The sequence below is a fragment of the Homo sapiens genome, chromosome 22 (genome assembly GCF_000001405.40).
Source record: "Homo sapiens chromosome 22, GRCh38.p14 Primary Assembly".
NCBI classification, from domain to species: domain Eukaryota; kingdom Metazoa; phylum Chordata; class Mammalia; order Primates; family Hominidae; genus Homo; species Homo sapiens.
This window is the reverse complement of record NC_000022.11, coordinates 22,352,043-22,365,058: the sequence shown is the minus strand read 5'-3', so window position 1 is coordinate 22,365,058 and position 13,016 is coordinate 22,352,043. Positions and strand designations below refer to the sequence as shown.

Sequence of the window (13,016 nt, the reverse complement as noted above, 5' to 3'; positions counted from 1 at the left end):
ATATGCATGAGTCACCATGCCCAGCCATGAGATAATTTTACATGGTGATTTTTGTATTCAGAAATATTACCGAATACATTTAATCATTCTGACAAAGTTTTCTTTTGTGGGACTTTTAAGGGTATTCTACATATGACATTAAATCAAATGAAAACAGAGATAATTTTACTTTTTATTTCTAATTTTTATTCTGTTTATTTCTTTCTCTTGCCTAATTACTCTGGCTAGGTCTTCCAATACTGTCTTAATAGAAGTGGTGAAAATGTGCATTGTTGCTTTGATCCTGATAGATATTACAAAAACATATCTTTGGTCTTTCAGATTGCATGCGATGTTAGTTGTAGGATTTTCATAGATGGCCTTTACTATGTTGAGGAAGTTTCCTTCTATTCATAGTTTGTTGAGTGTTTTTATCATGAAAGGGTGTGGAATTTTGTGAAATGATCTTCTGTAACCAGGGCCTTACTGCATTATATCTGGAAAAGCCACTCTGCTTCACACCCACCCCTACCCCCTCCACTATATGCCTTGTGTTAGAAAGGAATAAATACCTTGTGTCTTCCAGGGGAAAAGGGTCAGTCCATCAGAAACATAGCAGTTGTCACCTGTGTAAGGGGATGGTGGAGCAGGATAGGCCCTCATAGGTACAACAGTGGACTCTGCTCCAAGCCATAGTAGCTGTTACATATACATAGATTTTGACTGAGATGGAGCAACCCCTGCCTCCCTGGACTCAGACATGGGCAAAGAGTCCAGGGAAAACAGAGGCATGGACCAGAATCAAAAGCAATAAGGTGAGGGGACTAGGCTCAGGCTCCTGTGAGTAGCTTGGGGTGACTGTTATAGCAAGTGCCCCATTTGTCCAAGAGTTGGTGGCTGTGTTGATGAGTCTCTCGAAGCCAGTTTCTCCCTCACTCTGGCCCTCTGCTGCTGATGGCCCCTCTACCTGTAGATTGATAAGAAATGACTCCTTCCTAACTCTCAAATTTAGGAGACAAGCTAGACTTCTGTGGGTGGCCCCAGAGTATCCATTAATGGGTTTTAGATGAAAGGAAAGGGTGTGCAATGGTTTCTTCATGCAAATCAGCCCCCTCTTCTTGTCTGCCAGTCCCTTCATAGAACCTCAGTCCAGACAGTCACCGGAATACATGTTCTAGGTGGGGTGGAGAAGGCCAGGTTGGCTGAACCTGGTTCCCTGTGAGGACACAGCTGCTGAGCCCAGTGAGCAGTGAGCAGATGATACAGGGTCACAGCAGGATGGCTTCCCAGTTGTTCTTACTTGTAGATGCCTCAAGGACAAGCCTACAGCACCCAGTACTGCCCCAGACCCAGACCTACTGAGCCTTTCAGTTATGAGTGTGAGGGCCTTTGTTAAGCTGCATTTGTACTCATTGCTCTGCAGAGAATTCTGGTACCATTACAAATCTATCTGGTTCATGCTGTTATTTTTAGTAAAGTCCTGGGATCTTAGTCTCACTGAAGGAGATTCTCTGATAGACATCAGAGCAGAGAGCACAGTTTGGTGAAGGGGAAGCCACCAGAAATGCAGGCCTGTGGCGAGAGATGCCTCCTTCTTCCCCACTCAAGAGTGTGGCCCCTTTTCAGACTGACAAGTCCTGTCCTGGAAGTTCTGGGCTCTCAGGGTGGGTCTCCCCCTACTCTCAGCCCACGCACCTTCAGCATCAAAAGGACCCTGGAGTTTGCTGTCTCACTGGACAAAGGGAGAGCCATGCTGAGCTCTTCCATTTCTTACTTATTTACCCCTGGCTTAAGCCCCGCTGCGTGGGGACTGAGTAGTCCCCCTGCGTCTGGTTTTGAAAGGCTTATGAGGTCCCTCATCCAGAACTCTGGCTGCAGCAACCCCAGCAGAGGTCCTGAGTCTGCAGACTTGAAGAATAATACAAAGAAGAATTAGGGAAGTGAGTAGGCACTATTGATTGAGGAACTTATACCATGTATTTAGTGCTAACTGACGTGCTTTCTTGAGGGTAGCTGTGTTAGAGAAGCTCTGCCTTTGAGGTTCATCTCATAGAACTGGCATCAGTAAGACGAGGCCAGCCCCAACACTCCCTCTTCCAAGCCTTGAATCCTGTGAGGAGTTGGCAGATAAACGACAGGGCACCCAGATAAGTTGTATTTCAACTGAAAAATATTGTGTGGGAGATACTAACACATACTAATTCTTTGTCATTGTTTTACTGAATTCAAATTTAACTGACCTCCAGTGTTTTTATTTGATAAATTGCAGAATCCTACCTCCAGGCCACAAGCACTCCCCTCTCTAACCAGGGCCTACTGCATGAAAAGCAATCATAAAGCTGTTGTCAGGATTCAGTGAGGTCACACTCTTAGGAATTAAAAACCTGTTGGTCAATAGTAAGGTTGCAGTAGTTCTAAATCTTGATACAACCTATCAAAACCTCCAGGATACAGCAAAGGCAGTGCTAAGGGAAAAGTTTAGCATTAAATACATACATCAAAAAGCCTGAAAGAGCACAAACAGACCTTCTAAGGTCACACCTCATGAAACTGGAGGATCAAGAACAATGCAAACCCAAACTCAGCAGAAGAAAAGAAATAACAAAGATTAGACCAGAACTAAATAAAATTAAAACAAAAAAACTATATAAAAGATAATATGCACATAATCTGAAAAACCTAGAGAAGATTGATAAATATCTGAATATATACAACCCTCCTAGATTAAACCAGGAAGATGTAGAAACTCTGAACAGACCAATAACAAGCAGTGAGATTGAAATAATAATTTTAAAAAGTCAAACCCCGAAAAAAGTCCAGGACCAGACAGATTCACATTTGAATTCTATCAGACATTGAAAGAAGAATTGGCACCAAGTCTATGACAGTAATTGCGATGGTTAATATTGAGTGTCAACTTTATTGGATTGAAGGATACAAAGTATTGATCCTCAGTGTGTCTGTGAGGGTTTTGCCAAAGAGACTAACATTTGAGTAAGTGGGCTGGGATAGGCAGACCCGCCCTTAACCTGGGCGTGCACAATCTAATCAGATGCCAGCATGGCTAGAATATAAGCAGACAGAAAAATGTGAAAGAGAGATTGGCTTAGTCTCCCACCCTACATCATTCTCCAGTGCTGGATCCTTCCTGCCCTTGAACATTGGACTCCAAGCTCTTCAGTTTTGGAACATGGACTGGCTCTCCTTGCTCCTCACCCTGCAGATGGCCTATTGTGTGACTTGTGATTATGTGAGTTAATACTTAATAAACTCATATATATATATATATATATATATATATATATTCCATTAGTTCTTTCCCTCTGGAGAATACTAATACATTAACCCACAGGATGGAGAAAGAGGGAATAAATTATTCTATGAAGCCAGTGTCACCCTAAAACCAAAATGAGGGGAAGGACATAACAAAACAAGAAAACTACAGACCAATATCCCTGATGAACATAGATGCAAAAATCCTAAACTAAATACTTGCTAACCCAATCCAACAGCTATCAAATCATAGTCCACCATGATGAAGTGGGTTTCTTACCAAGGATGCAGGGATGGTTTAACATACAAAGTCAATAAATGTAATATACCACATAAACAGAATTAAGAACAAAAATCACAGATTATCTCAATCGATGCAGAAAAAGTACTTGATAAAATCCATCATCACTTCATGATTAAAACCCTCTGCAAAACTGGCATAGAAGAGACATACCTTATGGTAATGAAAGCCCTCTATTACAAACCCACAGCCAACATTATACTGAACAGAAAAAACTTAAAAGCATTTCTTCCGAGAACCGGAACAAGACAAGAATGCCCACTTTCACCACTTCTGTTCAACATAGTTCTGGAAGTCTTAGCCAGAGCAATCAGACAAGAGAAAGAAATTAAGGGCATCCAAATTGGTAAAGAGGAAGTCAAACTGTCATTGTTTGCTTATAATAAGATCGTATACCTAGAAAACTTTAAAGACTCATTCAAAAAGCTCCGAGAACTGGTGAATGAATTCAGCAAAGTTTCGGGATACAAAATTAAGGCACACAAATACAACAACAGGGACCAAGCTGAATATCAAATCAAGAACTCAACCCCTTTAACAAATAGCTGCAAAAAAAAAAATACTTAGGAATATACCTAACCAAGGAGATTAAAGAACTCTACAAAGAAAACTACAAAACACTGCTGAAAGAAATCATAGATGACACAAACAAATAAAAACACATCCCATGCTCATGAATGGGTAGAATCAATATTGTGAAAATGATCATACTACCAAAAGCAATCTACAAATTCAATGCAATTCCCATCAAAATACCAACATCATTTATCACAGAACTAGAAAAAACAATCCTAAAATTCATATGGAACCAAAAAAGAGCCTGCATAGCCAAAGCAAGACTAAGAAAAAACAAACAAACAACAACAACAACAAAAAGCATATCCAGAGGCATCAGGTTACCTAACTTCAAACTATACTCTAGGACACCCTGTTCAAGAAATGGTGCTGGGATAATTGGCAAGCCAAATGTGAAAGAAATAAACCTGGATCCTCATCTCTCAGCTTATACAAAAATCAACTCAAGATGAATCAAAGACTTAAACCTAAGGCCTGAAACAATAAAAATTCTAGAAGATAACATCAGAAAAACCCTTCTAGACATTGGTTTAGGCAAAGACTTCATGACCAAGAACCCAAAAGCAAATGCAACAAGAACAAAGATAAATAGATGGGACCTAATTAAACTAAAAAGCTTCTTCACAGCAAAAGAAATAATCAGCAGAGTTAACAGACAGCCCACCGAGTGGAAGAAAATCTTCACAATCTACATATCCACCTAATGACTAAGGGCTAGCATCTACAAAGAATTCAAACAAATTATCAAGAAAAAAACTAAACAATCTCATCAAAAAGTAGGCTAAAGGCATAAATAAAAATTCTCAAAAGAAGATATATGAATGGCCAACAGACATAAAGAAAAATGAACAGCATCACTAATGATCAGGGAAATACCAATCAAAACTACAATACAATACCACCTTAATACCGCAAGAATGGCCAATAATAGATGTTGGCATGGATGTGGTGAAAACAAAACACTTTTACACTGGTGGTGGGAAGGTAAACTAGTACAACCACTATGGAAAACAGATTCCTTAAGGAACTAAAAATAGATGTACCCTTTGATCCAGCAAAGTCCCAAAATCTGGGACTAGGCATGTACCCAGAGAAAAAGAAATCATTATTCAAAAAAGATAGTTGCACACGCATGTTTATAGCAGCACAATTTGCAATTGCAAGAACATGGAACCAGCCCAAATGCCCATAAACCAACAAATGGATAAAGGAAATGTTAAATATATGCATACCATGGAATACTATGCAGCCATAAAAAGGAACAAAATAATGGCATTCCCAGCAACCTGGATAGAATTGGGGACTGTTATTCTAAGTGCAGTAACTCAGGAATTGAAAACAAAGCATGGCATATTCTCACCCATAAGTGGGAGATAAGCTATGAGAACACAAAGGCATAACAATGATACAATGGACTTTGAGGACTGGGAGGAAATGGTAGAAGCGGGGTGAGGGATAAAAGACTACTCACTGGGTACACTGTACGCTACTTGGGTGATGAGTGCACCAATATCTTAGAAATCACAACTAAAGAACTTATTTATGTAACCAAATACCACCGATTCCCTAAAAACCTATTAAAATAAAAAAATTAATAATTAAAGAGAAAAAAACACTGAAATCCTTAAAAACCCAAATAAATAAATAAGTAAATAAATAGAATATGAGAACCTCTTCCAATATAGACAGAACGAGAGGCAAGAGATGAAGAAGCAAGAATCCCGACAAGACATCACAGACTCTCCTGTCACCTTAGATGAACATAACTCCAAGAGTTTGATTTTGATGGACGATAAATTCAAACTTTAAAATAAATAAACAAAATCAGGAATAATCAACCTAAAGGCCCTCAAAGGTAGTAATGAGCCCTCTATGGGATGGGTGCAATTCAGCGAGAACAGGAAGAATCCCAAAAGGAGTTTGCAGTGTGAAAAAAGCCAGAACAAATGGGAAGATAATGTCTGATAACACTGATACATTCCAAAAAATGGAAAGCAAACAATAGTGACAGAGACAGATCTGTGGCTGCACAGGATAGCACTGGGGAAGGGAGGGAGGGAGATGACAAGGGGTCATGAGGGGTTGCTGGGGTTGGTCACAGGTTGCATAGCTGCGTGTTGGTGGTGATGTATTCAAGGATCAAAAAATGTCAACATTTGTCTAATTTCCTATTATAAATCTGGGTGGTTTATTAAATATGCATTATTCCTACATGAAAGGAGTTTTATTAAAAAAAGAATTGGCTGGAGAGAAAGGAAGCACAGGGATTCACACTGAGGAGCAGGGGGAGGAAGACACCACTCTGGAAACTCCTGGAAATGGGAAAAGGAGGATGACAGAGACACAGGTTTCCCATCAGAGGTGGGTCTGTGACGACACAGCTGTACCTGCCACCTCAGTCCAGGACTTCAGTGCAGAGACCCTGTGTCCCAAGTTGCAGGAAGCAGGATGTTCTGTTTCCTGGACAGCCTGTTCATGACTCTGAGGATGAAGGGGAGGAGGAGCCTCCACTCTCAGGCAGGGCCCTGGATGCCCTTGGACCCATGGGGGAAGCTACAGCAGCAGAAGCCACAGGCCGGGCCTGAGCAGCAGCTGCCGGGGCTCACCCTCCTGACAGAGGAGGAAGGGGGTTCTTGTCTCAGTTCCCCCTGGGCCTGGAGCACTGTGGGACCACTCAGGCTGTCATCCCATGCTGCACAGTAATAATCAGCCTCATCCTCGGACCGGAGCCCACTGATGGCCAGGGAGGCTGAGGTGCCAGACTTGGAGCCAGAGAATCGGTCAGGGACCCCTGAGGGCCGCTGATTATTACTATAGATGAGGAGTTTGGGGGCCGTTCCTGGGAGCTGCTGGTACCAGTATACATAATTACTTCCGATGTTGGAGCTGCTTCCAGAACAAGAGATGGTGACCCTCTGCCCGGGGGTCCCAGACGCTGAGGGTGGCTGAGTCAGCACAGACTGGGCCCAGGACCCTGGAAGTGAGAGAGACACAGACATGGTGATTGACAAGAGACGAAAGGAGACAAGAGGAGAAAGCAGGGCCCCATGGGCTTCCCAGGGCCCCTCTCTTGGTCCCCATCCTGTCACCTGCACAGTGAGTGAGGAGGGTGAGGAGGAGAGGGAAGCCGGCCATGCTGGAGATTGTCCTGAATCCTGTCTTCTCTACCACAGCTGAAGCTGAGCTTCCCCCAGATCTCTCCCTCTCTTCATACTCTGAGAGGGGGAGAGTCCATCCATGCAAATCAGATCCCCCCGGTTTTTGACCCCACCCTGAGCCCTGGGTCAGGCTCCTGGGCTTGAGTATGTCAGGGTGTGGCAGGGGTGGAGCTTTGTGGTCCCAGGGGGTGGGGAGGACACAGGACACAGCTGCCAGCCCTGAGCAGAGGACATCAGGCAGGGCAGGTGCCTGGTTCTGCTCTGATTACCCCAAGTCTTCTCAGAAATGGTCCCCAAGCGCCCCCTAGTGTCCAGACTAAGGCAAACCGTTCTATGATCAGGTGACCAGAGCCTCTGAGATTCACCGCTGCCTCCGCCCCGCCCTGTTTTCTGGCCACTGCCCCCGCTCCCAAGTCCCGGCCCAGTAAGGTGGCACCTGTGTCTCCCTCCTGTGACCTCAGGGCAGTCTTCACGCTCTACTGGACTCCTCAGGAGTGAATCTGTCTATGGCTCTTTGGCTGTACATTGTAGAGGACTCAGGTGATGTCTACACAAAGTCCTTTTATTTCAGGATCAAGCCCAGAGCGGGGACCGGCCCCATGGACTCACTTCCCCACCAGTGTTGGACACCGGGTCCTCTCCTCTCATGTGACTCCTCCCTGGTGGCCAGGGCTCCACTTCCTCTGTGGATCCTGCTGCGCTGAGGAGAAAGGGAGCTCTTCCCTCTGGGATGCCCTGGGGAGGAATTCCCAGAGGGTTTTTCTGGTAAATCTTTGTTCTCCCTCTACTTCCCCAGATTTGCAGTCATAGTCATCCGGATACTGTGACCAGGGATCTTGCCTAGGAGTCTGTCCTCCAAGCACTGAATGCCAGTCTGTGGGGGATCCTGGCAAATGTCTTTGGAGTGTTTCACTTATGAGCAAAAAGAGCAAAGATGTTCAGTCTTTGAACATGGGAAGAATTAAAATTTTAACTTGGTTTGACGACCAGAGTCTGTCCTCAGGTGAGCCTGATATGTGATAGCTCTTAGCATCGAGCACCCCAACTAGGATTTCCAGGGAAAAATTATGGTTCAAATTCAGTAGTGAGTCTTGTGGGGGTGGCTTGAAGATGATGAAAATTATTCATCTTTGGTCTGTAATGACATCTAGAATCTAATAAACTAAAAACAATAATCTTAAGAAAAAAGATAATTCTGTTAATCAAAATGAAAAATGAAATAGATTGTGTTTATGATTGCATGAGTTCTGGCATGATACACCCTGGACTCTTAACAAATATTTGTTTGGGGAATTTTACGTGGATGGAGGGAAACAGCTGGATGGTTATGTTGATATTTATACTTGTGAATGTATCATCAGGCAGTTGCAATACAATGAGATTTTTTATTTATTTGTTTGTTTATTTATTTATTTATTTTGAGCCGGAGTCTTGGTCTGTTGCCCAGGCTGGAGTGCAGTGGCACCATCTCGGCTAAATGCAACCTCCATCTCCCAGGTTCAAGCAATTCTCCTGCCTCAGCCTTCCAAGTAGCTGGAATTACCAGCACGAGCCACCATGCCCGGCTAATTTTTGTATTTTTTTAGTAGAGACTGGGTTTCACCATGTTGGCCAGGCTGGTCTCCAACTCCTGACCTTGTGATCAGCCCACCTCGGACTCCCAAAGTGCTGGGATTACAGGCGTGAGCCACCGCGCCTGGCCACAATGAGATTTTAAATGCTCCATTTAAACAACAAAATAGTGAGATTTATTGCAGGCATTTAAATAAAACCAGTCCGTATATGTAACTGAAATAAAATGGATGCTGTGTTTTGGGATTGCATTTCAAGGGTGTCATTATTTTAAATGTTCCTTTTAGTGTAAGCCATGCTCCTTTACATAATTTTCATAGTTTTTATAAAAAGTTTATTGTGTTTATATAACACATCAGGCATATTGTTTTATTTATTTCCAAGTAGAAATAAACTATTAGAGCTGGGCTTCACTTCCTGTTTCTTCTCATTGCTTTTTCTTTGATGATGCATAGATGTTCACAGTGAATTTTGTTTTCCTTTCCTCCCACCTTAATGAACAGGGGGTCACCGAGGCTGAGCAGTGTCTCACATACAGGAGAAGGCTGCCCACGGCCTCCTCCCTGCCCACGGATGCGCTTCCTGGTGGATGCCCCATCAGCTCTTAGGCTGAGGGCAGAGAGAGGAGCAGATCCACGGCTAAGGAACCTGGACACCCAGAGGATCTGGAAGGAAGGGGCAACAGTTGCGACAGTGAGCCCTGGACAGAAGACACTGACTGTGGATTTTTTATGTGATTCTCCTCAGGAACCCTCACAGACAAACCAAACCCCAGTCTCTACGTGTCTTCAGGGTGCCGGTCCTTCCAGGTCCTCTTTTTGTCACTGCCCTAGGCCCCGGGCATCCTTCTCCTATGAGTCACAATGGACAGTCTCCTCTTCAGGGTGCACCCTCCTTACCACATCTGACCCCACACCCATCTCCTCATTCCTCCATAAACCATCCCCTGCTCACTTCCATTAGCATTTTTACATCATTCTAGGATCACAGCCTCCCAAGGATGTCTCTGCAGGATATCCATGTTGCAGAGAGCTCAGACCTTTGACAGGACCACTGTGCCTGGGCCACCTAAGGCTGAGCATTTCTCTTGCTTCTCTTCTAGAGCAGCTCTAGGCCGAGCCAGATCCAGACCTCTCAGAATGCTGAGCCCACGTTTTCTTAAGTGTCAGACTTCCGCTCTCACATATGGGTCTTGGGTCACACAGGCTGGATTCTCCTTTCTTGTCATCTTTCCCACAGTTTCAGAGCTCAGGAAATGATCAGCACACCTGCACCAAAAGGAGAGGACACCTGTGGGACCAGGCTGAAGGCTCCTGGACTTCTGGGTCACACTGGCTGGATTCTTTCTTGTCATCCCCACCTCATCCACACCCACCATGTGTGGACAGCTCCTTTTGCTTCTAGAAACAAGTTGATTCTGTTTCCATTGGGGAGACCAGTAAGAAAACGAGTTATCATCCCTGCACCCTTGCTCTGCTTTCAGTAACACAAGTGACAGTAAAAGTCTTGGCATGAACTGGTGTTGGTCACAGGCAGGGATAAAGGAGGGATGGGGAGACAGGATGAGTGGGGCAGATCTTTCTCTCATTTCCCCATGGAATAGGAACCCTTGGTAACATGGAGTCAGGATGCAGCTGTGTGACACTGATAACCAGCCAGTCCTCAGGCTGGAGCGCAGAAGTTGTCCAGGAGGCTGTGGGAATAAACCCAGAGCAGGAGAATCAGGCTTGGACCCCTGAGGGACAATCACTGATGTCCTAAGTCACAAAATTAGGGGCTCTTTCTGGGAGGGAATGCCCAATGTTTCTGCTGCTCCCCATGCAGAAAAAGGTGACATTGAGATGGGGGCCTTCTCAAGAGTTTCCTGGGGAGGAGTCACTTGAAGCAAACAGTATCTGTACCCAGATGTTCCACAGACTCACTACTAGAACCTGACTCAGTGAGAACCTCCAATGGTGCAATAGAGGAGAAGAGAACACAGGCCCTGAGGGATCAGCAAACCCACCCTCAGCAGTCCCCGTGGTCCTGAGTGGAATGAGCTGCAGGAAAGTCACATCCCTGGGACCTACTTCCCCCATGGCCAAGGAGCAGCCTCAGCCTTGCCTCAGCCATGGTGGAGCCTCCCCTTGACTCTCTCAAGTCCTACATAGAGGTTTACCGGCCTCAGGTCCACAGTTACCCTCAGACGTAATCCCATCTCCTGACATTTCCACTGAAATGCAGGTACCCAGTACTGAGCCAGGTCAGCACTATATCTGCAATTCCCTGACCTGTGTCCTCATGCAGCATTTCATATTTGAGTGCCTTGTTCCTGGGACACAGTGAGCCTCAGACAGCCCTGAGAACAGACTAGTGGGGATGGAAGGGGAGGTCTCTGCTTGTACACTGGAAGAGCAGAGTCCATGCTGTAGGGGACTGTTCACCTGCTAGGATGTCCCCAGGCTCTGACCATGATGTGAGCTAGGAAAGCCTCATTTTGCTTCTTTCAAGAACAAAAGTCCAGCTCCGCAGGCAGTGGTGTTAGCACATATGGACAACCAGCCAACACTTCAGGGTCGTCAGGTGCTTTGGTTTGGTTTTGTTTTACTGAGACTTCAGAAGAATGGATGGGAAATTGAGAGAAGAGCCTTTTACAACTAGAAAGTTATTTCCAAATTTAGTTTGTCCCTTGGCTGGTTATTTTAAAATTTAAAAACTGTTACAGAACAAGAACCCAGATCAGGGTGAGGTTTTCGTCCCACTTCCCCATCTGTGTGTGTCACTGTGAGAAGCACTGCTGTGCCAAATCATACAGTAATAGTCAGCCTCATCCTCAGACTAGAGCCCAGAGATGAATAAAATCCCTGCATTGGTCGAAGCATCTTTGGATCCAGAGAAGCGGCTGGGGACTCCAGAGCCCTGGTGCTTATCTGAGTCTGAGTAGTAGTTCAGGAGATACCTGGGAGGACTCCCTGGCTTCTGCTGGTACCAGTATATCCTGTAGCTACCAACACTGATGCCACTGCGCAAGGTGCAGGTGAGTCTGGCTGATGCTCCAGGAGATGCTGAGAGGGAAGTTGGCTGAGTCAGCACAGCCTGCGAGAGGGAACCTGGAAACACAGGCATTTATAGGCTTTAAGGCAGAAACCAAGGTAATATTTTTTTTAGTGATCTTTGACACGAGAGTCAGAATCAGGCTGTGTGGCTGACCCTGGTCTCTGAGGCCTTTTCCTACCTGTGCAGTGAGAGAGGAACAGGAGAAGGAGAGGAGTCCAGGCCATGGTGGACACAGCCTCTTACCCCACAGTGGGACTGGGCTGCCCCAGGCCTCCTTTTCTTCCCACCCTTGCAGAGGAGGGGCTGCTCATGCAAATGTGTTTCCACCCAGGGACTGCCGGGCCCCTCCTTGAGACCTGGGGATGCAGCTCACCTCACTCTGCAGACTAAGCAGGAGGAAGGTTTATTTTTCTTCTTGCAAGGTCCTGGGAGGAAGCACCTGTTGAGACGATACACAGGTCCCTGCTCAGGGAACTCTGCAAGGCCAGAGGGGACACAGCTGCCGAGTGTCCATCAGTGAGCACAGGGCCCAGCCTCAAGGCCTGGATTTCTTGGAGTGAATGCTCCTTACTGAGCAGCTGTGTCAGAACCACAGGGCAGCCCCACAACATCCGACGCTGGTCCCAGGAAACACACTTTCCCAAAGCTCAGAGACTTCAGAACCCAGCTGGTCTCTGCAGCTCTCCAGTCACTGTCTGTATTCACATATCCATGGTCTGATTCCCAGACACTGCTTCTATCATGCTGTGCATTATTACTGTGATTTCTCACTCCCAGAAGTAGTCTTGGTCTGTGGGATGTGCAGCCATGTACATATATAACTTTTAAAGTTGTCAGCACCCCTGCATGGCATTCTAGAAAAATCGAGTTGCCCACATGTGCCATCAGGGTGGGCATCATGAAAAATGGGTCAGCTGAGGAGCTGGGTTGAAGGGCAGCTGGGGTTGTTCAAAAGGACAGTGAAGAATGAGAATTTTCCAGGAAAAATAAATGATCCAATACATGTTAAAGACAGCAATTTAGCAAAAGTTATACATCTAATGGTTTCATATGTTTTATAGAGATTTGACTCAATTTTGTGATGTAGGAACATTAAGAGATTTTGTAGACTTTCCTGTCAC

At 45.1% G+C, this 13,016-nt stretch overlaps 2 gene segments (V, D, J or C) and 1 further gene, besides 1 other annotated feature; all 3 read right to left on the bottom strand.

Annotated features, from left to right (window-relative positions):
- Positions 1–13,016, bottom strand: part of IGL (immunoglobulin lambda locus) — an 896,838-nt gene that overhangs the window by 557,855 nt on the left and 325,967 nt on the right.
- On the bottom strand, positions 6,797–7,264 carry IGLV1-47 (immunoglobulin lambda variable 1-47). The segment is given in 2 exon segments: positions 6,797–7,103; positions 7,225–7,264. Coding segments are annotated over 2 exon segments (347 nt in total).
- Positions 7,399–7,498: a silencer, noted in NCBI's record as "silent region_13525". NCBI's record gives its function as "represses an Ori minimal core promoter by ATAC-STARR-seq in GM12878 lymphoblastoid cells {active_cell/tissue: GM12878}" and the evidence as "EXISTENCE:reporter gene assay evidence [ECO:0000049][PMID:35858748]".
- On the bottom strand, positions 11,626–12,119 carry IGLV5-48 (immunoglobulin lambda variable 5-48 (non-functional)). The segment is given in 2 exon segments: positions 11,626–11,948; positions 12,074–12,119. Coding segments are annotated over 2 exon segments (369 nt in total).